General features: G+C 47.2%; 1 protein-coding gene across 2 annotated transcripts in view, besides 6 other annotated features; it reads right to left on the bottom strand.

The window, feature by feature from the left end:
- The window catches only part of HMG20A (high mobility group 20A), a 99,163-nt gene that overhangs the window by 8,414 nt on the left and 67,228 nt on the right, over positions 1-23,521 (bottom strand). The window lies entirely within an intron of this gene.
- Positions 204-1,178: an enhancer, noted in NCBI's record as "OCT4-NANOG-H3K27ac-H3K4me1 hESC enhancer chr15:77802801-77803775 (GRCh37/hg19 assembly coordinates)". NCBI's record gives its function as "activates a minimal SCP1, AML or CMV promoter by ChIP-STARR-seq in naive and primed H9 embryonic stem cells {active_cell/tissue: H9 hESC(naive and primed)}" and the evidence as "EXISTENCE:reporter gene assay evidence [ECO:0000049][PMID:30033119]".
- Positions 1,179-2,155: an enhancer, noted in NCBI's record as "OCT4-NANOG-H3K27ac-H3K4me1 hESC enhancer chr15:77801824-77802800 (GRCh37/hg19 assembly coordinates)". NCBI's record gives its function as "activates a minimal SCP1, AML or CMV promoter by ChIP-STARR-seq in naive and primed H9 embryonic stem cells {active_cell/tissue: H9 hESC(naive and primed)}" and the evidence as "EXISTENCE:reporter gene assay evidence [ECO:0000049][PMID:30033119]".
- Positions 3,132-4,108: an enhancer, noted in NCBI's record as "H3K27ac-H3K4me1 hESC enhancer chr15:77799871-77800847 (GRCh37/hg19 assembly coordinates)". NCBI's record gives its function as "activates a minimal SCP1, AML or CMV promoter by ChIP-STARR-seq in primed H9 embryonic stem cells {active_cell/tissue: H9 hESC(primed)}" and the evidence as "EXISTENCE:reporter gene assay evidence [ECO:0000049][PMID:30033119]".
- Positions 13,625-14,424: an enhancer, noted in NCBI's record as "H3K27ac-H3K4me1 hESC enhancer chr15:77789555-77790354 (GRCh37/hg19 assembly coordinates)". NCBI's record gives its function as "activates a minimal SCP1, AML or CMV promoter by ChIP-STARR-seq in naive H9 embryonic stem cells {active_cell/tissue: H9 hESC(naive)}" and the evidence as "EXISTENCE:reporter gene assay evidence [ECO:0000049][PMID:30033119]".
- Positions 14,496-14,790: an enhancer, noted in NCBI's record as "tiled region #2172; HepG2 Activating DNase matched - State 4:PromP, and K562 Activating DNase unmatched - State 8:EnhW". NCBI's record gives its function as "activates a minimal TATA promoter and a strong SV40 promoter by Sharpr-MPRA in HepG2 and K562 cells {active_cell/tissue: HepG2 | K562}" and the evidence as "EXISTENCE:reporter gene assay evidence [ECO:0000049][PMID:27701403]".
- Positions 15,227-16,027: an enhancer, noted in NCBI's record as "H3K27ac-H3K4me1 hESC enhancer chr15:77787952-77788752 (GRCh37/hg19 assembly coordinates)". NCBI's record gives its function as "activates a minimal SCP1, AML or CMV promoter by ChIP-STARR-seq in primed H9 embryonic stem cells {active_cell/tissue: H9 hESC(primed)}" and the evidence as "EXISTENCE:reporter gene assay evidence [ECO:0000049][PMID:30033119]".

Here is a 23,521-nt window from a genome sequence, read left to right as displayed (position 1 = left end):
TGTATATCTTCTTTGGAGAAACGTCTATTGAAGTCCTTTTTAATTGGGTTGTTTCTTCTGTTGTTGGACACAGGAGTTCTTTATATATTCTGGATATTATCTTATGTGCTTTCGACATGTCCCCATCATTCTTTGAGCACTTTCTGTCTGAAACAACAAGATGTTTCAAGTGCTCTATTTCCCCTGCCCCAGCCCTGGAATCAGTCATTTCTCCAAGGAGCCCTGATTCCTTTCAGTGGCGAATGATTTGGGGGCAGATCTGGGCTGTAGATTTGCTCATTTATTTTGGGGGCTTGTTGCTCCCAGACCTTCTCAGTGTCCAGAGCCAAGGAATGTGTGTGTGTATTTGTGTGTGTGTATACACATATATTTATATTTATTTCTAGATCCATACATTAAAAATCATAAGTTCACATCAATACCTCTATTTCCAGTCCATCCTCATAGGATTCACTCAAACTTCTCCCCTTTCCATATTTTCAACTTCCTTCTCCAACAACAAGAAACCTGGCTCCCACTCTTCGCGCTATATTTATGTATTGCTCAATGCCCTTGCATGTAGCCAGTCTCCTGAATCCACGGGCTACTGCCCTCACTTGGCCACCTCCCTGCTCCCACTAACCCCTTCTGCTGCTTTCACGAAGTGTTGGGGGAAGGGAAGGAGGTCCTACAGAATTTTAAGGGAATTATTCAATTATTCAGGAAGGAAGGAAGCAAGCAAGTACAGGGCTGGATCTTGAAGAAGTTTGCAGATGGCCTCAGCGCATTTCCGCCCCAGGTAATTGGGCTGAAAGCTCAGGGACGTGCCTTTTAACAGCCCCATCTGCTCCAGTGTTTCTGGGAAGTTCCTGGGCCAGCCCCTGGCTCAGGGATGCCCACCAGACCATAATGAGCCAGTCTGCTCAGCCTCCACACTCCCAAGGACGGACTACTGCCGGAGCTGCTGGCAGCTGCTGGAGGCCACAGTGTTGCCCTGGGTCCACCCAGCACTTGAACCCTGACCAGAACCCTGAACCCAGCATGGTCAGGCAGGAGGCTGGGGCCTTGGGCCTCAGGGGGACCTGGCAAGGCCTACCCCAGGAGGTCAGGCTGGAAACTGGAGGAGACTCAACTCATGCAGAAGCTCTTAGCTGAGTACAGCTTCCTCTCCCCCAGTGCATTTAAGCTGCGCTTTACAAATACAAATGCCTTAGAGGTTTCCTTTTCATCCTGGCCCCTGGAATATGAAAGGTTTTGCTTGCTACTGTGGCTTCCACCACCACAGGGACACTGGAAGGGGGAGGAGTGTCTCTGTCCTAAAGAAGCCCTGGTTCAGGCCCACTGCCAGGTTTCAGTCATCATCCATGCGCAGCCAGGTAGCCCCTGTACCCAGCCTACCTCCCGAGGGTTGGGGGTGTGGGCAAGAGAGCTCACTGAGGCATGCTGTGTGCAGAGCCTTCCAGTGAGTGTTTGGAAGAATCCACCCTCAGGGAGCTCAAAGACTATCTAGGGTCACAAGCCCCACCAAGGGCAGGAGCAGCAGCCCCATACACCCGCAGATGCCCCTGTGGGGGGCTAGGAATGACAGAACAGCCACTCTGTGAGTGATGGAAACAGGAAAGGTAAGGATGATGGGAAACCCTGGTAGAAACCTTCCAGAAAGACAGGCCAGCCTTTCCAACATGATCTTGGATGCATTCAGGTTTTAGGGGCCTGAAACATATATAATTTGGGTAGTTTTTTTTTTTTTTTGAGGCGGAGTCTTGCTCTGTCGCCAGGCTGGAGCGCAGTGGTGCAATCTCTGCTCACTGCAGCCTCTGCCTCCCAGGTTCCAGCGATTCTCCTGACTCAGCCTCCCAGGTAGCTGGGATTACAGGCATGCACCACCATGCCTGGCTAATTTTCTGTATTTTTAGTAGAGACGGGGTTTCTCCATGTTGGCCAGGCTGGTCTCAAACTCCTGACCTCAGGTGATCTGCCCACTTCGGCCTCCCAAAGTGCTAGGATTACAGGCATCAGCCACTGTGCCCAGCCTGGATAGTTCTTTAAGACACACACACACACACACACACACACACACACACACACACACACACACACACGGCTGGGCACAGAGGCTCATGCCTGTATTCCCAGCACTTTGAGAGGCCGAGGCCAGGCAGATCACCTGAGATCAGGATTTCAAGATCAGCCTGAGCAACATGGTGTAATCCCATCCCTACAAAATATAAAAAAATTAGCTGGGCATGGTGGTATGCACCTATAGTCTTAGCTACTTGAGAAGCCGAGATGGGAGGATTGCTTGAGCCCAGAGAGATCGAGGCTGCAGTGAGCCATGACCACTGCCCTCCAGCCTGAGTGACGGAGCGAGACCCTGTCTCAAAAAAGAGAAAGAAAGAAAGATGAAAGAGAAAGGAAGGAAGGAAGGAAGGAAATGAAGGTGACTGCTCAGCTGGACTGCCATCCCTTGACTCCCAGCTGTCCTGGCAAGGCTTTCAGCTTCATGACAGTAGCATCAAGCAGAAGTTCACCACATTACAGCATTTGACAGTTTATGAAGCATGTCCATAGATGTGGTCATCTCCAAGAGCAGGCAGGGAAGCTGAAACTGCTGTGTCCCTACCTCTTACACAGGTCCTGGCAGATAAAAGGTTCACGATCCATCTTTGCTGAGTTAACAAAGGGGCCAAAGAGGCCATGGGAAGCAGCTCCTCCCTGCAGGGTTGGGCAGGGCCAGATGAAAACCTTTATTTCAGGGCCCTAAGCCTGAAAAAGGATCAAGTATCCCCCACTTACCATGTGCAAATCAAAATAAAGCTAGTCCTAAACCACAGAATAAGAGTCAGGAAGTCTTACAGCATTCTGGGGTTTCCCATTGAGTCTGCAATGATTTTTAAAAATGGATAATTTCTCCAAAACTTCTCATTTGGGGCGTGCCCTGCTTTGCTGGTGCCAAAGCATATACGTGGCCTGCCAAGTGACCCGTCCAGCCCTGGCTTGGTGCCACTACCTCTTAGGGACTTCAGTGTGGATTCCTGGGCACAAGGTCTCAGAGGTGCAGAAAGACCCTCACCCCAGGGGTGGGGTTCAGCAGGCCTGGATTTGAACAGGCCCCCACCACTGACCAGCCGCGTACACTTGGATCAGTCACTTAGTCTTTCCAAGCTTCAGCTTCCTTGTCTGAATGAATGGGCTCACACTCACTATTCATAGAGCTGAGCATGAGGGAAAATGAAATCTGACATGCAAAGGGCCTAGCACGGGATCTGGTGTACAGTGGGTGCTCAGGAAGCAACTATTACCTGCAAGAAGCAACGAAGGGAGTTGGCGGGTCCTTAGCTTCTGCTCTGACAGCAGAACCCGAGCAGCCATATGAGACAAGCAGGTGCTGAGTAGGCGGGAAGGGGCAGTGGCTGGACCTGGGAGTTGGGGTCTTTCCCACACCTGACTTAGCTGGACGGTTCAGGCTTAGTTCTCAGCCTAAGATGGGCCCTCTGTCCTAGGACCTCCCCGTCCCTCCTCCCAACCTCACTGAGCAGATTAGTCAGGAAGTGTGCACAATGTGCTCATTGTTATTAGAGGAAAACAAAAATAGCCTTGGCCTGGAGACTGTGTGCGTAGGGCTTGGGTGCAGCGGGCTACTTGCTTCTTTAGGGAGGCTTTTTTTCAAGGGAAGCTCAGACTCACAGAGGTGTGCTTGGGGTGGGCCCCCCCAAAGACAAGACCTCCCCAACCTGCCCCTCTCTTGCTCTCCAGACCTACGCTCAGCACCGCCCCCCCACAACATGCTTTCCATCCTCATGTCTCCTCCAACCCCCTATCTTTACCCACCCCTGTGCCTTCACTCCCAACAGTCAGCTGTCTCTGTTGGAGAATGGCCCTGAGCTGCCAGAACCACTCTGCCCGCACCTGTGAAGAACAGGAAATACCTGGACATTTTTGTGCTCCATTTGGGGAGGGCAAGGAAGTAAAACTGCCCCTGCCCGCTTGCCCCTGATTGGGGCACCTCTAAAGTGTCCCCACAGCTCCCTGGAGTATGAGACACGCAGCCCTTCGCGTGGCTTGGCTTGATGCCACACCCTGGCTTGGCTTCTTTCTCTTTGCTTGCGTCCCACTTCCTTGTCCCTCTACTGTCTTTCCCACTTAGATTTCTCCCTAAGAAATCATTTTCACATAAATCTAGACTCAGTTTTCCTCAGGGGAACCTCAGCTAAGATATTCTCCAACCTCAGGACCAGGCACAGCGGAGGGAGGCACCTGGAGAGACCTGTCCTTTGACTGCTTCTGGGAGGGGTGTGGGGGGTGTGTGTACATGCACCTGCCTACACTCTGCCTTTTACAGTGGGGAGCAGGGAAGAGGAAGGAAGAAGCCTGTATTACTCAGAGCCCTCCAGGGAAACAGAACCAACATGATGCACGGAGAGATTTGTTATAAGGAATTGGCTCACAGGATTATGGGGGCTGAGGAGTCCACACCCAGAAAAGCTGATGGTGTGAGTTCCAGTGTGAGTCTGGGAGCAGGAAGAGATTGACATCCCAGCTTGAAGACAGTCAGGCAGAGAGGAAATTCTTTCTTACTCAGGCGTTTATTCTGTTCGAACCTTCAACTGATTGGATGGAGCCCACCCACATGAAGGAGGGCCCTGTGCTTTACTCAGTCTACGGATTCAAGTGTTAATTTCATCCAGAAACAGGCATGGTGGCCTAGTCAAGTGGACACATAGCATGAACCACACCAGGGCTGCCCAGGCCTTTGCCTCTGCAGTGTGGTGTGGAGGCGCTGGCCGACCTTCCTTCTCTTCATCACATCCCCACTGGCATAAGGGGCACTGAAACGCCTACAAGGGCCATGGCTGGAATGCAAGGACATTTCCTGTTTCCACAGATGGCTCCCTCCAGGGTCTGGGAGCCTCTGCCTTTGGCTGGAACAGGTCACACCCATTCCGCAGGCGTGAAAACCGGAACGTGGGCTGGGCGCAGTGTGGCAGGCAGGAGTCTCAGAGGCGGAGCTCTGTCTTTTGGCGGCCCTGGCTCAAATCCTTGGCTTCCTTCCCAGAACCCCCACTTTGGGAGGAAGAGAAAAATAAATTGTGTTCTAGGTGCTCAGCAACAAAGGCAAAGTGGCTGAGCAGTGGTAATGAATAGCAAGAACAGGGAGTCAAGAGGGCAGCCGCACACTCCAGGTCTGTCTTGGTGCAGAGACAATAAACACAATCACCCTGCGGGGAGAACGCACTGCCTCCGGAGCAGGCAAGGGGCATCGGCGGCTTCATCGTGAACCAGCAACTGGTGGAGAGGGAGGGGAGTGCACAGGGGAGGACTGCCCATTAAAGACACCCTGATCCTAATGCGAGGCCCCGTGACCTTCTGAAACCTTCTCTAGCTTTTCCCAGAGACGGCTTGGCTGGGATCGGGGTGGGATATGGATGAGATCACTAGATAAAATAGAGGATGCCCAGTTAAAGTTGAACTTTTCATGGGACATACTTACTTATATTAAAAAATTATTTGTTGTTTATCTGAAATTCAAATTTAACTGGGTGTCCTGTATTAATTAATTAAAGGGTTTTTTTTTTTTTTTTTTGCTAACTCTACCAACCCTAGGTGGGGGGGTAGAAATCCTACATGGGAAAAGTGGTTGAAGAAACTCAGGTAGTTTATCCCAGCAGCTGGCAGACTCTGGGCACCGGCTCCCAATTCCAGAAGGGCTGTCCTGGGAGAGTTAGACTAGAAGATGGAATGGTTGCATTTTGAAATAGCAGCTACCTGGTCTGTTCAAGAAGAGAGTGGTATGGCAGAAGGAAGACACAGCTCAGGGCTGCAGATCTGGCTCTGCCATCTACTCCCGGGAGCCCCTGAGCTTGCACACCGGTGAATCACAGGTGTTCTGCATGGACATGCCCTCCGGCCCTGCAGCCCTGTAGCCCTGCAGCCCACATCAGCCTGGTTTATATCCTTGCATGCATCACATTTCTCTAGCTGGTGAACTGTGATAGGAGCAGCAGATCAAGGGCTCAGCTGCCTTTCCTCCTTCCTCCAGGCCCCAGGTTGCACTGTATTTCTTGAACATGCGGAGAAGCAGGTGCTGGCTGGTGAGGATGCAGAAGCCAGTGTGTCCTGCTGGTTCTCCTGCATGGGAGGCGTAGGGTGTGGGAGCAGAGAGGGTGAGGCAGAGCCCTATGATCAAGGCCATCGGGCTCAGCATGCTGTCCCTACACGACCTTGCCAGGGTCTTGCTCTGTCCAGCTGGGCATCTGGTGACTGGGCCATCCTGAGTCCCCTGACTGAAGAAGATGTCCTAGGAAAGATGTGTCTGAGCTGCATCAGCTCTGGGAAGCTGCCCAAGCTGAGGCTGAGGCCCTTTACCTCGAACCTGGAAATCTCTGCCTGCTTCAGCCTTGTCGATGAGGCAAAGCCTCAGAGTGGACGTCCCAACTCATGCATTGCTGGCCAGGACGTGCAGCCATCTGGAGCACAGGTCCAGGGCTGGAAGGGCACTTGTGGGCAGTCACTCCACTTCTTCCTCCTATTCACATGGGGGAAACCAAGGCCTCAAGAGAGGAAGGCGTTTGATCAAGGCCAGTCCAGGATTCTGTGTCCAAACAGGTGTTCACATCCCCTGTTCAGTGCTCAGGGGTCTGCCACATATGACCCCGAACCTCAGTGAGTCAACTAACATACACTGTGCCAGGCACCCCCAAGGACGCTAAAATCCCACAATAATACAGCAGACATGTCATGGCCCCTATTGCTTCATTGCCTCATAGACACAGGAGATGATGGAGCCTCAGAGTACTGTAGAAACTTATCTGAAGTTGGTGAGTGGCGGGGCCAGCACTGAAGCCCAGTTTCCCACCTGCAAGCTCACTGCCCTTTGCATCCCCCCATTTGTAACGCCCAGTTCTCTGCTGCCAACTTCCCCCAAGGCCTCACAGGCATCTCCAACAGAAGCCCATCTTTCAGCGCTGCCCCTCCAGCGGTCCTCCAGTGCTGCCCCTTGCTGCAGGCCCTCCTTCCACCCCAGGACTGCTGGTATTTGCATAGCTCTCTATAGTGTACAAAGCTTTCCCCAGTACATTATGTCAGGTTGATTTCCCCAACGGAAACTCCAGCCCCAGCGGGGAGCACCTGCTTCTCTTGGGCAATTACCCTTGAGAGGCCAGAAGGCGCACCCCGCGCAAAGGGTTCCTTACAAAATGTCAGACTGTTCCAAGCAAACAGAAATGGGCCCTGAGCCAGCTCAGCTGTGGCAGGGAGAACTCTAGGAATTAAGGCCTCCCAGACTGCAGCTTGGTACTCTGTCTCCTTACAAGCCTCATCCCACTTCTCAGCACCTGCAAGGAAGAACGCCCTGCTCATTAGCCACTCTGGGAGCGGCAGACAAAGAGCCCAGCTGCCTTTCCTCCTTCCTCTGGACCCCAGGTTGCCACTAGGCTAGGTGTGGGGTCCCTTGATTTCCTCTTGTTCCCACAGGGCTCCCCACTTATGCAGACATCTATCTATGCCTGCCCCAGAAGGCCTCGGCTGAGGACTCTTGGTCAGCAAAGGCAGGACTTTGTTTCTCTTTTACTAAAGATATTTTTTTCCCTATCAAATCTCCTCCAGATCCCCAGGCACTCATATGCCCAGAGTAGAGGTGCTTTTTGCAAAATTCTGGCTCAGCATAGAGGACACTGGACTTTGAGTCCAAAGACCTAAATTTAAGTCCCCGCTGTGCTGCTTTTGAGCTGTGTGTACAGCTGCCATGTGCAGCTGTACAGGTTGTGCACTACCTCGCTATTCAAAGTGGGATCCAGAGACCGGGAGCATACATATCACAGGCGAGCTTGTTAGAAATACAGACTCTTGGGCCCTACCCCAGAGTGACTGAATCAAAATCTGTTTTAACGAGATCCTCTGGTGATTTAAAGACCCAAGTTGGAGAATCGCTGGTGTATTACGATCCGAGGGAGCACCACTGACCAGGGTGTGAGCAGCACCCCTAGAATCGTGTGACATGCTCTCCTGCTCGGGCAAATCACTTCTCCTCTTTGGGTCTCATTTTCTGGGTCTGCCAAGTGGGAATATAATGCCTCTCCCCTAGGGTGGCTGCACTGCTTACATAAGGAATAAGCATCAGAGAGCATCTCCTGAGGAGAGGGCTCAAGTGGGGTCAGCTAGGGTTGACAAGCTTGCCTCTTTCAGGAGGTAAGCTTGGGAATTTTCACCACCCTGAGGGCTTACAGGAAAAACAGGATCCTCAGGTTTTGGAGCTGGAAAGGATTTGAGGGACTCCTTTGATTGAGCAGACATTCAACTTTCAGTCAACAATTTTACAGATGATGAAACTGAGGAAGGACAGGTGAAATAGCAAAACTGATGGTTTTGATACCAGATTTTGCTATCAGTGACTGAGCTGGGACTGGAGTCCAGCCCAGTTCCATCTCACTGCCCCCTCTCCCCATAAGCTCTAGCAGTTGTGTAAAGTTGTTCTTGCAACTTATCTATCTATGCTTTGTCTTCAGCACTTCATGGGGATGAACTGGAGGGAGGCTGGATAGAAGTTGCATCTTCCTTAAAAAAGAATACCTAAGCAAATAAGTAGATGGCTGTTTTTCAGAGTTAAATAGGGGATTGTCAGGAAAGATGAAACCACTCAGAAAGGAGTACATCAACACTGATTTTTTTGTTGTTCGTTTTGCTTTTGTTTTTGCGACAGGGCTTCACTCTGTTGCCTAGCCTGGAGTCCAGTGGGATCCTAGCTCACTGCAACCTTGAACTCCTGGGCTCAAATGATCCTCCCACCTCAGCTTCCTGAGTAGCTGGGACTCCAGGGGCATGCCATCACGCCTGGCTAATTTTTTTTTATTTTTTGTAGAGACAGGGTCTCACTATGTTGCCCATGCTGGTCTCAAACTCCTGGCCTCAAGTGATCCTCTTGCCTTGGCCTCTCGAAGTGCTGGGATTACAGGTATAAGCCATTGAACCTGGCCTTTAACACCTACTTTCTAAGCACTTATGATATTGCTAAGCATTGTGCTGGGCCCTGCTATACAAGATGAACAGATACCATCTCTGTCGTCATGTGGCTCCCAATCTGGACAGGACATGTGACATACACCAGAAACTAATAGTCATCTAAGGCCTTGGGTGGTAAGTCCACCAACTTTACGTGTTAGCAGAGGGATTTGGAGAAGGACGAGAAACCACTGAATGGAGGAGACAAGGAAGATTCTAGAAGATGCTGGATTGGCAAGGGGTAAAGAGAGGTAGGATTTAGATAGAGAGGAGCAGAGATCAGTGTGTGCCAAACTAGAAGTTTGCAAGGTGTGTTTAGGGAACAAGGGACTGGCTTAGAGCAGGGCTTGGCAAATTTTTTCAGTATAAGGCCAGATAGTAAATATTTTAGGCTTTGTAGGTTATAAGTCTGTTCCAACGACTCAGCTCTGCCTTTGTAGCTAGAAAGCAGAGACAGATAATAAGTAAATAAACCAGCATGGCCGTATTTCATACAACTTTATTTATAGACACTGATATTTGAATTTTATGTAATTTTCATGTGTCACCAAATATTCTTCTTTTGATTTTTTTCAACTACTTAAAAATATAAAAAATTATTCTTTGCCTACAGGCGGTAGAGAAACATATGGGCCAGATTTGGCTCATGGACCATACTTCACCCATTTCTGATCTAGGGGCGAGATGAAAGCTGGGCCTGGAAAGGGATGCTGGGGCCAGATCATGCCAGGCATTGAATACATGGTTAAGGCATCTGGTGTTTCTCCAAGGTTAAGTCAGAGGTAGGAATGCATGATATTCAGATATCCCCAGATTTGCCCCCTCTTCTAAGGCACCTTCCCTCCTAGAGAGTGGCTCCCAACATCCCAAGAAGGGGATCCTTCGTTATGTTGCCTTTTAGTGAACAGAGAAAGACTGAAGGAGGAAGGGTCTGGGGGTACACCTGGGAGTCAATTGTTAGGCTTTCAAGCCCAAAGTACCTAAGGATGATCTAAGTGAGATGTCAAATAGCTGTCACATATCTGAATCTAGAGCTGAGAGCTGAAGATAGTGGTCCTGCTTTAAATGATGGGAATAGACAAGTCTCTTCAGGAAGGAATGTAGAGGGAAGAGAATGCAACCCAGGTCGGAGCTCTGAGGTTCTCTACTTCCAGGGCTCAGATGGAGTCCCAAGAGAGCCTGAGAGGCAAAAGAAAGCAGGAGACTGTGATGGCAGAAGCCGAGGGAGAGGAGTCACTTAAAAGAAGGGAGGAAATCATGCCCAGTGCTGCTGCAACTTTTGGAGGCTGAGGACAAGAGAGTGTTCTGGTAATGAGGAGATCTCTCAAGAAGTTGCCAGGAGCAACTTCAATGGGGTGGTGGGTGTGGAAATCAGAGAGAGTGGAGGTGATGCAAACAAGTCTTCAGAGACATTCTAACCTTTGCAAGACAGATGAAATGAAGCATTAGTCATAGGGAAGGATGCAGGACTGAACTAAACTCAACAGACTTACTACTGAGTGCTTACTTTGTCCCAGGCACAGTGCCAGGTTTGGAGATACAAAGATGAGAAGAGACAGGACTGAATAGCCACACACCAATATGATCAGTATCAGAATAGGCATACGTAACAAGTGGTGCTGGCAAGAGGGATGCTGGAGCCGTGAATTCTGAGTTTGGGGATCAGGAAAAGCATCACAGAATGGGTGCTATCTGATCTGGGCTTGCAGAGCAGGAAGGACAAGGTAAGAAAAGCCTTGCCAAGCAGTAGGAAAGAGGATTTCAAAAAGAAAGTTTAAAAAAGAACAGGGAGGGCCAGGCGCGGTGGCTCATGCCTGTAATCCCAGCACTTTGGGAGGCCAAGGCAGGTGGATCCCCTGAGGTCAGGAGTTCAAGACCAGCCTGGCCAACATGGTGAAACCCTGTCTCTACTAAAAATATAAAAATTAGCCGGTCATGGTGGTAGGCACCTGTAATCCCAGCTACTTGGGAGGCTGAGGCAGGAGAACCGCTTGAACTCGGGAGGCGGAGGTTGCAGTGAGCCAAGATCGTGTCATTGCACTCCAGCCTGGGAGACAAGAGCACAAGAGCTGGACTTTGTCTCAAAAAAAAAAAAAAGAACAGGGAGGGTTTGGGGAACAGCGAGTGGTCTGATGTTGCCTAATGGGTAGTGGTGATAATGGGCCACACAGTAACAGGAGATGCATTTGGAGACATACGCCACCCACTATGGGATAGGCCCTTGCACCCTGCTGAAGAGACTGAAGTTTATAGAAAAGGGGGAATATAAAGAATATAACATTGGTCCACCTGCTCTGTGCCAGGTACCTTAAATACTTTCGAACATGGGTTTTGCAGTACAAAGCAGACCTGAGTTCAAATTCTGGTTCTGCAAGGTGTAATAGCTATGTGGCTTTAGGTCCTTTAACCTAGCTAAGTCTTAGTTTCATCTTAGTTTCATGCTAATAATTCTTATCGTATAGAATTTTTGTAAGGCTTAAAAACAAAAGCAACTACCACAACTATGATCTCATTTAAAATAGAGTGATATGGCTGGGCGCAGTGGCTCACGCTTGTAATCCCAGCACTTTGGGAGGCCGAGGCGGGTGGATCATTTGAGGTCAGGAGTTCAAGACCAGCGTGGCCAACATGGTGAAACCCTGTCTCTACTAAAAATACAAAAATTAGCTGGGCATGGTGGTGTGCCCCTGTAGTCCCAGCTATTAGGGAGGGCTGAGGCAGGAGAATCCCTTGAACCTGGGAGGCGGAGGTTGCAGTGAGCCAGGATCGTGCTGCTGCACTCCAGGCTGGGCGACAGAGTGAGACCCTGTCTCAAAAAAAAAAAAAGAAAAGAAAAAGATATTTGCAAGACTAATCTTGCATTTTAGAAAAGTTGCTTTTGTAGTGGTGTGCAGGACGAACTGGTGGAGGGGAGTTAAGAGGGGGACAAATGAGACTGGCTATACTAAGTCTAGTTAGAAGGCTATTATAGAACTAGTTAATAGCAAAAAAGAGGAAAAACAAAACAATGGGCTATTAGGAGAGCCCCAGGAGAGCTGAAAGCTGAAGACCCCCACAAAGGCCTGTCCTGGAGGTGTTGAGAAGGGCCAGCTGTTAGGGGGATTCCAGGGCTCTGTGTGTGTGTGTGGGGGGGAGCATTCTGTGAATGAGATGTGGAGGGCTGGGAGCAGGGTAAAGAGCTGGGGAGAGGCGTGTAGGATTCCAGGCTCTCCAGCTTCAGAGAGCAGTGGAGTTTTTAACTGAGCTGACAGGTATTAGAGAAAATGTGGGTTTGGGAAGAATACATATTTAATTTTGGACAAATTGAGTTGAGGATTCTGCAGGATGCCAGATGGAGAAGCCCTGAGGGAGCTGGAAAGAGAGATCAGGAACTCCAGCAAGGGCGACTCAGCTCTGAGCTGTTTTATGCAGGAGGGAAGGCCTGGCACTGGAGGAGGAATGCCAAGGTCCAGATGATGTTTGAGCATCCTAAGTGTCGGGATTTTAGATCAGGTGGGAATAACGGAAGGCACAGTTCCCACAGAATGGTAGAATGTATTAGAATAGTATGTGCTTCATTTATTTTCCTGGAGACTTGGAGATTGAGAGCTAGAAGGGGTCATCCAGTCCTATATGAAGTCTTCAGCACCTTCTAGGGCCAGGCCCTGAGAATAAGTAAGTGGGGAGACAAGAAAGTCTTCCCAAGAGTAGAATGCCAGCCAATAAAGGTGGAAGGAATAATGGACTTATAAAAAAATCACAACAGCATGGTGAAGATTCAGACTGATTAGTGGATTTTATAGTCCTATTCAAATCCCCAAGGTTTTAGTGGAGAGATGGAGATCCGAAGGGGTTAAGTGGCTTCCGAGGTGATGCTGAAGTGGCCCAGTTGGGAATAATAGGACGGTGTCTTTGTAGAACCCAGGAAAATGTTTTTCCACTATGAGATTGTTGTATGCCTTTTGAGATACATGGGGCAGATTAAAATCTTCATTTCACAGATGTGAAAAATGTCTCCAGGAGCTGAGGAGACCTGCTTCAGGCTGCACCAGTGCTAACAAGCGGCAGAACCGGATGTGAACCCCAGAGTTCCCATCTCCCACGGCATGCAGAACTTCTTCGGCTACCTGAGCTACAGGAACCCTGGGAAGCAGGGCCAGAGGTGCCTGGGGACTGCAGCCCACTGGGGTGGGCATGGGGAAAGAGGAATATCATTTCTGGTTCAAGTTGCTAGTTTTGCAGAGTGTAAAATTACTGCACAGGCCCCAGAGAATAAACAGAGTTAACACCCCATTAAATACAATGGACTTTCAACGTGAGCTCTAGACGTGCCTAGATTGAAACTAGCTGAGCAAGAGCTGGCCCGTGAGTAAAATGTATCACATGCACTCCCTTAATGCTTCCAAAGAGAAAAATCCAGCGCAGGGAGAAGAAAGTGCCGGCAGCAGCTCTGCAGGCTCAGGGCTGAGGATCCGGTAATGAAGTCTTTCTGGAAGGTAAGAAAGGGCTGTGTGCTGCATGCTATTTTTAAACATGCTGGAGCAGCACATGTATCCCTGGCCCACGCACTTTCTCCAGCAGAGGAGGGGCCTGGGGGATGCAGCCAGGAATTTAGATGCTATTTATTGTATTTCCTTTTATCAGTCAAATGATTTTCCTATTTCCCACCTAGATAAAGATCTTCCACTTACAGCTCCAGCTTGTTGACCTTGTCAGGACTGCTGTGCAGCCTGAAAATTGGTCCCAGAGAGAGAAGGGCATTGTTTTTAGGGGGTTGCTTGGCGGGTTGGGTTTTTCTTCTCCCAGCAGGGAAGAGATTGGTTTACAAAAAAAAAAAAAAAAATTAAAAATCTTCCAGAAAACAAAAACTGATTGTTTTGTGCCTTTTTGCAGAACTGAAAGGCTGTCCAAGTATAGTTCACCAGCCATCCCCCTTGCATCCCCCTAATATCTCCACCCTACGTTTCACCAACACACACACACACACACACACACACACTCTCTCTCTCTCTCTCTCTCTCTCTCTATTAATATCTCTTTCTTTCTCCTGCAGCAGCAAGCCTGGCCCTGGCCCCAGACCCACTGCTGTGCTGCTGTCTTGGCAGGCAGCAGGGCAGAGGGGGGTGGCAGCTCTGTCTAAGCTTGTAAGCTGAGCCAGTCTCTTGGCTGTGCCAGCTCTGAGGCCCCTTAGAGATGCCAGTATGCCTGAGTGGGAGCAGTTGCAGCTTCCACTCGGCTGGAAGCTTTGGAGCCAGCCAGGCCTCCAGAAGCTGCATTCTCAGGCAAGGGTATGGCCCGAGGGCTGCTAATCAGCAGGAGGCCTCCTCTTGGGCAAGCTGCCCTCATTGTCTCGCCTTGCCTAGGCCTGCTGGCCAGGTTCACAGGCCAGAGACAGTGCCACTCTTCCTCACCTTCTCGGGAACGGGACCAGCAGATGCTGTGGGAGGCTGGGGTTTTATTGTAAATCCTCATGATTTCTGGCTCATTTAGAGCCACGAAACACAAAGAGAGCCAGCTAGAAGGAGGGAATCCAGCCCCTTGCAGGTTCATCATTTGAACAGCAAGGAGCTGCAGGCCCCTTCCACACTTGCGAGGGTCGGCTATGGATTGTAACAGAGCTGCCGGCTTTCAGGAACCCCAGGTTCTTTCCCACCATTGCAGTGTTTCCTAGCCGGGACAGCAGAGGGCGCCAGCTCTCCTGCCAGCACTGGGTCCCGGGCCGTCCTCCCGCACATCTGGAAATGGGCTCTATCACTCTCTTGCGAAATAAGGCCAGGGATCTGTCTGTGTCGGATGAATTGGCACCCGAGTGAGCACGCATACACATCAAGAATTCCACTTTCTCATTACTTCTATTTCTCCCTCAAGAGCACTTGTGGAATGTGGGGAATTTGCCTTGCCAAGGCGGCCAACACATCTGAGTCTTGGGCTTGGTCAGGCCTCGGTGGAGCGCTTGGCGGGACCACCTCTGGTCTGAAGACTTTGCCCTTCCCTCCGACATGCAGAGAGGGGGAAAAAGTAAACGGGAGGACAGGACCTCCCAGATCTTTTCCCCTGGGGAAGAAAACTAAAAATGTTTGGTCCTGACCTTCCGGGCCCTCCTGAAGAAAGCAAATGTCCCACATTAACAGGTCCTTGAGAAAGAAGATATAATTCCAAGAAAGCATTTTCTTAAATTACAAGTGATCAGAAATACCAAAGGTATGTGCAAACAATGGAGATGGAAAAGGAGAAACTGGATGGAGGAGGGCAGAGCTGAAGCCAACCCAGGGGCCTGGTTGCTGTTCTGAGGCTGCTTCCTAGACTTCTGAAAGCTGCATGCATTTAAATGTCCACATTTTCTCGCAGAAGCCAGCAATCGGTACTTCCCTTGGCCAAACAACACATCAGTCTAATATGGTGTGGGAGAAATATGTTACATTCTTTTATGAACAGAATGTTAACATCACCTAGAATCAATATTTATATCCAAGAACACAATGAACTGGCTTGTTTTGTGCTGCATGGGTTTAAGACAGGGACATTTGGGAAGAGTAGGGAGGCCGCCCCTCCTCCCACCCAGAAAGGCAGACCCGGGCAAGCAGGCTGAGGCTCCGGCATCTTCCAAAGGGTTTCTGCCTGGGAGACCATGCTCGGCTCCCTTCCTCCCTCACAGTCCTTTGTCTCCTGGGATTGCAAGAGGAAGCCAGAAGCAGCCAGTGGGGCAGGAATTTGTGGCGAGGTTCAGGACGTGAGGCAGCATCCTGTCTGCAGGACAGCCACCTACCATTCGTGAGGGCTGCAGTGGGGGAAGGAGGGTCAGGACATGCATCCCAGCATTTCCTACTGCAGATCAAAGTAGGGGCGGACACAACTTTACACAAGTCCTTGGATGAGGGGCTTCTAGGGGATGAAAAACTAGGAATAAGGGGGGATGACACTTCTCTTTCATGCTGCTATTTTTTGGCCAGGCAATTGTCCTCATTTGAGGCAGCCATTACAACAGAGATGGAAGCTGAGGTCTCCTGGCCTTGGAGTGCTGCATATTCTTCCAGAGGCTTTTGGGACACTCTATCTAACTCCTTAGGCTGGTTTCTTCCTTGATGCCGTTTTCCACTTTACTGCCTTTTTTTGTTGTTGTTCTTTATTTTTTTGAGATGGAGTCTTGCTGTGATGCCCAGGCTGGAGTGCAATGGCACAATCTCAGCTCACTACAACCTCTGCTTTCTGGGTTCAAGCGATTCTCTTGCCTCAGCCTCCCGAGTAGCTGGGACTACAAGGCATGTGCCACCACACCCAGCAAATTTTTGTATTTTTAGTAGAGACAGGATTTCACTATATTGGCCAGGCTGGTCTCGAACGCCTGACCTCAAGTGATCCACCCGCCTCAGCCTCCCAAAGTGCTGGGATTTCAGGCGTGAGCCACCACGCCTGCTGGCTTTACTGCCTTTGGAAGCTACTGGGCCTGCAGCCTGGAGTCAGCTGCTTGCTCCTTGCATGTACAATCCTTACCTAATTAGAAAAATAAAAACAAACAAAAGCCTTTCCCCCTTTCCCAGAAGATTTAAGGTTTGCCTGCAACAGACCATCTACAAATGTGAGACTTCTCTTCACCTAAGCAGACTGGATTGGGGCCTCATTTTGCAGAGCAAGCAGGCCTACTTCATTTTCAGATTCGATGCTGAAGGTCACCACTTTCAACCGTAGCACTTGTCTCTCATTAAATGTCTGGAGCTCATTATGATATATCTTGCAGAAAAGTCTTTGCTGCTTTAATAGGCATGATCTTTAGAAAAGATCCCTTGGCTTATGTGTAAGATTGAGGCATGATTAATCTTGGCCCCATTTAGTTGTGGGTCACCAGTGTTCAGGCTAGAGTGAGACCTCTCTGCATGATCACAATTTATAATTTTCCATAATCTATATCTTTTTTTATGTTGTTAGCATGTTTTGTTGCTGTAATTCATTTGGTCTGAACTATTGCTTTCATCTAGTTCTAAGAAACAACCAGTAAATATCCCAATCACATCTGCTATAAAACCAGCCAAGATAAACATATTATTTCATTATAAGCCACTATGTTTAGCATCCTCTTTACGGCTGCAAAGCTCCCCCTGCAGAAATCTCATGTGGCAGACTCATGTAAGTTTAAATATTCTGAACATCTTTACAGGTACTGACTGATTTAAGCCAATGGAAAAGTCTCACTTGGGTCCAGATGTTGTTCTGATGTCAAGGGCAGGATGAAAGAATAGTGAAAGTTAGCAGTAGGGGCCGGGTATGGTGACTCATGCCTGTAATCCCAGCACTTTGGGAAGTTGAGGTAGGTGGATTGCTTGAGCCTAGGAGTTTGAGACCAGACTGGACAACATAGTGAGACCCCCATCTCTATAAAACATGGAAAAATTAGCCAGGCATGGTAGTGCACATCTGTAGTCCTAACTACTTGGGAGACTGAGGTGGGAAGATCTCTTGAGCCCAGGAGTTCAAGGCTCTAGTGAGCTATGATCACACCACTGCATACCAGCCTGGGCAACAAAAGAAGACCCTGTCTCAACAACAACAAAAAAAGTTAACATTAGGGCAAAGAATAAAACAGTGAAATCTTTAGCCAGGGGTGGCTGCAGTTGGTAGGGTTTGACTATCTGCCTTCAGAGCAGTGCCAGGATCTGGGAGAAAAGTTCTAATAAAAAAAGTCTCCTTGGAAGTCTTTGGTAAAAGTCATTCCAAGTCCAGGCCCGCCTTTTAAGCTCTAGAATTGTCAATATAAATGCTTACTTAACACCTACATCTGCTGACTTAACACTTGCATCTCAAATAAACATTCCCACAAGGCTGTCTGATTTCCAGCCATTCCCCTGCCCCAGTCTGCTCCTCTTCTAGTCGTTGTCTCTGTAACTGGTATCTGGACCATCCATGTGAAGCACAAGATCACTGTAGGTGCTCTCTCCCTCCTGCCTCCCTCTCATCCGTCACTCATCTTGTTCCTTCCACCACCAAAATGGCTGTATTCCATCCTCTTCCCCACATCATTCTTCACTGCTACACCCTTAGTCCATAATACCACCACCTCTGGAGGGATTATAGCCACAGCCACAATTTAGCTCCCTATTTCAATGCTTCACAGAGTAGTCAGAATAAGTTTTTAAAACCACAAACTAGATGATGTCACTTCCCTTTCTGAAACCTTCAGTGACTTCCCCCTGCACTGAGGAGACTATCCCAGATCCTTGGGCTGGTGATAAGACCGCACATGGCCTCTCTCCTATCTCTTGCTGTTTTTCCCCTACATTTCCCTGCTCCAGGTCCCTGGTTTTCTTTCAGCTCCTCTAAATCCCCAATGAAAGCTGGTTTTTGTGCTCTTTTCCTGACTCTCCCTAAGTCCTACTGGTTTTTCATTTTAAGTGTCACTTCCTTGAAGGGGCCTTCCTTGACCCCACCATCGAAAAAAGTTGCCCACTCCCTGCCAATATGCTGACACACGCTACTACTACTCTTTTCCTGCATTTGATACCACATGGCAACATCACATCTACTTAAGTTTGTTTAATCACGTTTCTTCCACTAGATACTAGGCTCCATGAAAGCAAGAATTGTTACCTGTTTTGCTATATTCCTATTGCCTGCTCCAGAGGGTAATGCATATTAGTTGAACCAAGTAATGAAAGTAGACTGCATATGGAGAGCTGCCTAAAGGGTATTTACACTGCCTTCCTGGTGAACCCGCCCCACCAGACCACAGTTACCCAAAATTCCTCCTTGAAGAATTCCTCACTGAGCTTTGGGAGGAACCAAGTCAAACTCCCAAATGTCTCTAATCTCCTCTGCTCCTTTACTCCATCCCCACTGCATGCTCTTCTTCTTCCTCTTCTTTATTTATTTATTTTCCTTGGAGACAGAGTCTTGCTCTGTCACCCAAGCTGGAGTGCAATGGTATGAACATGGCTCACTGCAGCCACGACTTCCCGGGCTCCAGCAATCCTCCCACCTCAGCCCCCCAAGTATCTTGGAGCCCCATCATGCCTGGCTAATTAAAAATTTTTTTTTTATAGAGATGAGATCTCACCATGTTTCCCAGTCTGGTCTTGAACTTGTGAGCTCATGCAATCCTCCTGCCTCAGCCTCCCAAAAGGTGTGAGCCACCATACCCAGCCCCCGACTGCATGCTCTTCTTACCTTCCATCCTGGCTATTTTAACAGTCTCCTAACCAGTCTATCTCCATACTGCCTTGAATTCAAGAGTATTTATGCTAAGGACCACAATAATGGATGGGGGGAAATTACATTTTGATTTTCACAAACCTCTAATTGAAAATTTGCATTTCTTTTGATTATAAACATTGGCAACAAGCCCCAGTAGTATTGGCAGGACCTGTGACTTTGCCACCAACAAGATCACAGATATTTTCATACTATATTATAGACATTGCAGATGTTGAAATATTATTTATGGTCACTACTACTTTAAAATTATGGTCATTATTAGAACTAGATCATGTTATTTAATGCTTTATCAAGAAGCACAGGTATTCCTACATAACACATTGTTAATATTTTGTTAGCTATATTTTAATATAGTGGATTTCCTTTGTAATTTTATTTGTATTTTATGCACTTAGAAAACATTCCTAGAAGGGTCCATAGACTTTACCAGATTGCCAAAGCAGCTCGTGGCAGAAAAATGGTTGAGAGGCTGTGGTGTAGTTTTCCTTATGTCACTGCCTTGCAAAAACAGCCTTGAGGCCTTCCCTCTGCCTGCAAAACAAAAGCTAAAACCCTTGGCTTGACATTCAAGGCCCATTTACAATCCATTTTCAGAACACCTCACTATCTTTCTTTTTGGTCAGTGCCCTGGATATAACCTGTGTTCCAGTCACGCTGAATTACTTGAGTACACCAAAAATGTACTTCTATCTCTAGGTCTATTTCTAGCTTATCTTAAGGAACTACTCTTTTTCTAAGGCCCAGCTCAAAATGTTATCCTGGTAAAGCTCTTTTGCCTTCCCCCAAGCAAAACCACTGAATTTTTCCTTTGTGTTTTCCAGAATACTGCGCTCACAGCCGTTTGATCATTTATCAGACCCTATTGTAGTTAGCTTTTGTATCTATTTTTTGTTACATTGTGGGCTTCCAGTGGAGAGGGACTTCCTCAACTTTACACCCAAAACACATAGTGAGTACTTGGAAATGCTTGAAAAAATGAATGTATCTAAAATACTCATTCTTCTGAGGGATGAATAAAATCCATAATTACTATATTAGTTTGTCCTTTAAACCAAGAAATTCTTTTGATAAATATAACATAAGTCTACTTCAAAAATCCACCGGCCCCAAGAAAAATAGGTTGTTGTCTTACATTCCAGTGCCTGGACCCAGCTGCCTTCAGTTGACTTCTATCCTTGAAGATAGCAAAAGCACCCCTCACAGGAGCCCATTTGCTGAGTCTTTAAACCTTCTGACTGTATCAGTGATGTCTTCTCACATTACCCTTCTTTGAATGATGCCAAATATATTTTTGACCAGTCTCTTTTAAGCAGACGCTTTCCATTTCTTGCCCCAGGATTTTCTAATGGTCAGGTTATGGCATGATTTTTATATCCTAGAACATTCAGCTGCTTTATGTCAATCTTAAACAAATGCAGATGCAAGTTTTAAAAATTCTTTTCCTAAGAAGCGTCAAGAATTAAAAAGGAGACCATTCCTTAATTTCACAGTTCAACGCACAACGTAACTGGATCTACATGTGTGCACATGCGCTGAGGATAGAAGGAATGTTAGCAAACACTGACCTGAACTTAGAATCTCAAGGAACCACAGACTTTTAGGAACTGAAAGGAACTTTTTAACTGATAGCAGGGAGATGTGTGTCTTGCCCAGGGGCTCATCTGTTGTTGGGACTTCAAGTTTAGCCAGTCAAAAACAAATCCTTGATTTTTCTTCCGTGATGTTTCATACTTAAGTCTGCAATCTCAGGCCATGGCACCTCTCTCCATTACCCAGTTTTCCAAGCCAAAAAAACTGAGTCATTCTTCTTCTTTTTCTTATAGAGATGGGGTTTCACCACGTTGCCCAGGTTGGTCTTGAACTCCTGGGCTCAAGAAATCTACCCGCCTTGGCCTCCCAAAGTACTGGGATTACACGCGTAAGCCACTGTGCCCAGGAAAAACTGAGTCATTCTTCTTTTTCTTTCATTCTCCACATCCCACTCCTCAGCAATTCCTGTCCATTATACTCCCAAACTATATCCTGAATTAATCTGCCTTTTCCCACCACTCTAGGCTAAGCCACTGTCATTTCTCACTTGGGTTCCTATGCCAGCCTTCTCCTAGTCTCTCTGATTCTTCTCTTGCCCACCCCACAATTCTCTATACAGCAGCCAGAGTGACCCTTTATTTTATTTTACTTTTTATTTTTTGAGACAGAGTCTTGCTCTGTTACTCAGGCTGGAGTGCAGTGGCACAATCTTGGCTCACTGCAACCCCCACCTCCTGGGTTCAAGGGATTCTCATGCCTCAGACTCCTGAGTAGCTGGGATTACAGATGCGCGCCACCACGTCCAGCTAATTTTGTTTTGTATTTTTAGTAGAAAAATACAAACATGGTTTCACCATGTTGGCCAGGCTGGTCTCCAACTCCTGGCCTCAAGTGGTCTGCCCACTCCCACCTCTCAAAGTGCTGGGATTACAGGCATGAGCCACCACGCCCGGCCTAGAGTGACCCTTTAAAAACAGAAATCAGATCTTGTCACTCAGTTGTGTAGAACTCTCTTCACATTACACTTATGACAAACTGCAAACTCTTTACGACACTTCTGAGGATCTACATGATCTTGCTATTGCCTGCCTTGCAACTTCAAAGCCACTCTGCCTCTCGTTTACTCTGCTCCAGCCTCACCAGCTTTTTCTATGCCTTGAAATTCCAGAGTTCATTCCTGCCTCAGGATTTCAGCCTTTGTATACCCTCAGCCCTTCACCGGGCTGGCTCCTTCAAATCAATTTTGTCTTTCTTCAGAAGATACTTTTTCAGAAAGGCCTTTCTCTATCCTAGCTTATATCATTTCTTCTTATCTAGGTAATTAGCTGAGATGAGTTTGTTAGGTTACTTGTTTGTAGTCTCTTTTTCCCCAGCAAGGGGAAGAGCTCTATGGGGACTAGGACCCAGAACAATTTCTAACGCAAGAAAGATATTCAACAAATATTGTTGAATAGGTCTAATTCCAGTTCTCAGACCCACCATACCATGCTACGGCTTTGAACTCATGCCACTCTCATTAGTTATCTCTAAGACAGTACGGCTATAGTGGAATGTAAAGCCACAGTTATCTGGATATAAACCATTTCTCTACCTGTTCCCTGTTCTGTAACTGCACAAGTCACTTATCAGATCTGTGTCTTAATTTACTTACTGTAAAAATGAGTACAGTAGTCCTACTCTGTAAAGTTGTGGAATTACATAATTTACATAAAAAGCACAGCAGAGTGGCCTATGGTATATGTCTGTTATTTCTCTTTTCCCTTTAGTCTTCCACAAATTATAACAACTTATATTTAAGTGTCTTCTACTCTATGAGAGGCACTATTCTAAGTGTTTTACATGGATTGACTAATCTACATAAAAACTCTACAGGACAGAAATGATAAATATCACTATGTTACAGATGAGAAAACTTAAGTCATACAGTGGTTTATGCAACTTGCCTAAGGTCACGTAAGAGGAAAGCAGCAGAATCCAGACCTGAACCCAGCAGTGTTGTCCAATTTCAGAGGTAATAAAACAGTCATTGACTATCTTTATTGTGATCCCATGGTAAGAAACACATTTTACATTAAAAGTGTATGTAGACATATGACTGTATCTGAAGTGTAAGTTTCACAAAATAATACCCTTAACTACCTGTAGTGCATTCTGATAGTTTCTCATTTTAATTTTTAAAAATGTTTTTGACCAACTTACTGATTTAATGATCTATGAATGAATCAAAAGTGAACTTTGAAAAACTGCTTGTCTAAATTACAATTAATCCAAATGTTCTGACCTTCCAGCTACCTCAACCTCTACCAGACAAACTCTGATAGCTATCAGTTCAGATTTTCATATTTCATTTACATTCCAGATAAAGCCCTTATTAATTAGTTAAGATACTGATCCCCCACCCTGACTCAGATCTACTCTCTATTGCAAACTCTTTTGCACTTATGGAAAAAATATCTCATCAGGTAAGATTCAAATAACTTTTTCACTCTCTAAAAATTATTTGTCTCTATTAAAACTATTAATACAAGCTGCCCTATGTTAGAAATATTTATGTACAAGTCTGTCCTTCCCACTAGATTATCAGAAATTATGGAGGGCAGAAACCATGTTTTATAAACATCTTTGTATTCCCAAATAAAGGGTGAATTAAAGTGAAATGAAGAGAAGTTGGTATAAAAAACTCTGGCTCTTAAGTGTTGGATGGTGTGTGTGTGTGAGAGAGAGATTCAAATAAGAGAATCTCTTACACTGAATCTTACATATTCCCACATAAACATATAAGACATCCTCCCACTGATCTGGTGTTGCAGGTGGTTTATAAAAATCCTTCTAT

The sequence above is a fragment of the Homo sapiens genome, chromosome 15 (assembly GCF_000001405.40).
Source record: "Homo sapiens chromosome 15, GRCh38.p14 Primary Assembly".
Taxonomy (NCBI): Eukaryota; Metazoa; Chordata; class Mammalia; order Primates; family Hominidae; genus Homo; species Homo sapiens.
This window is presented reverse-complemented; position numbering and strand designations above follow the sequence as displayed.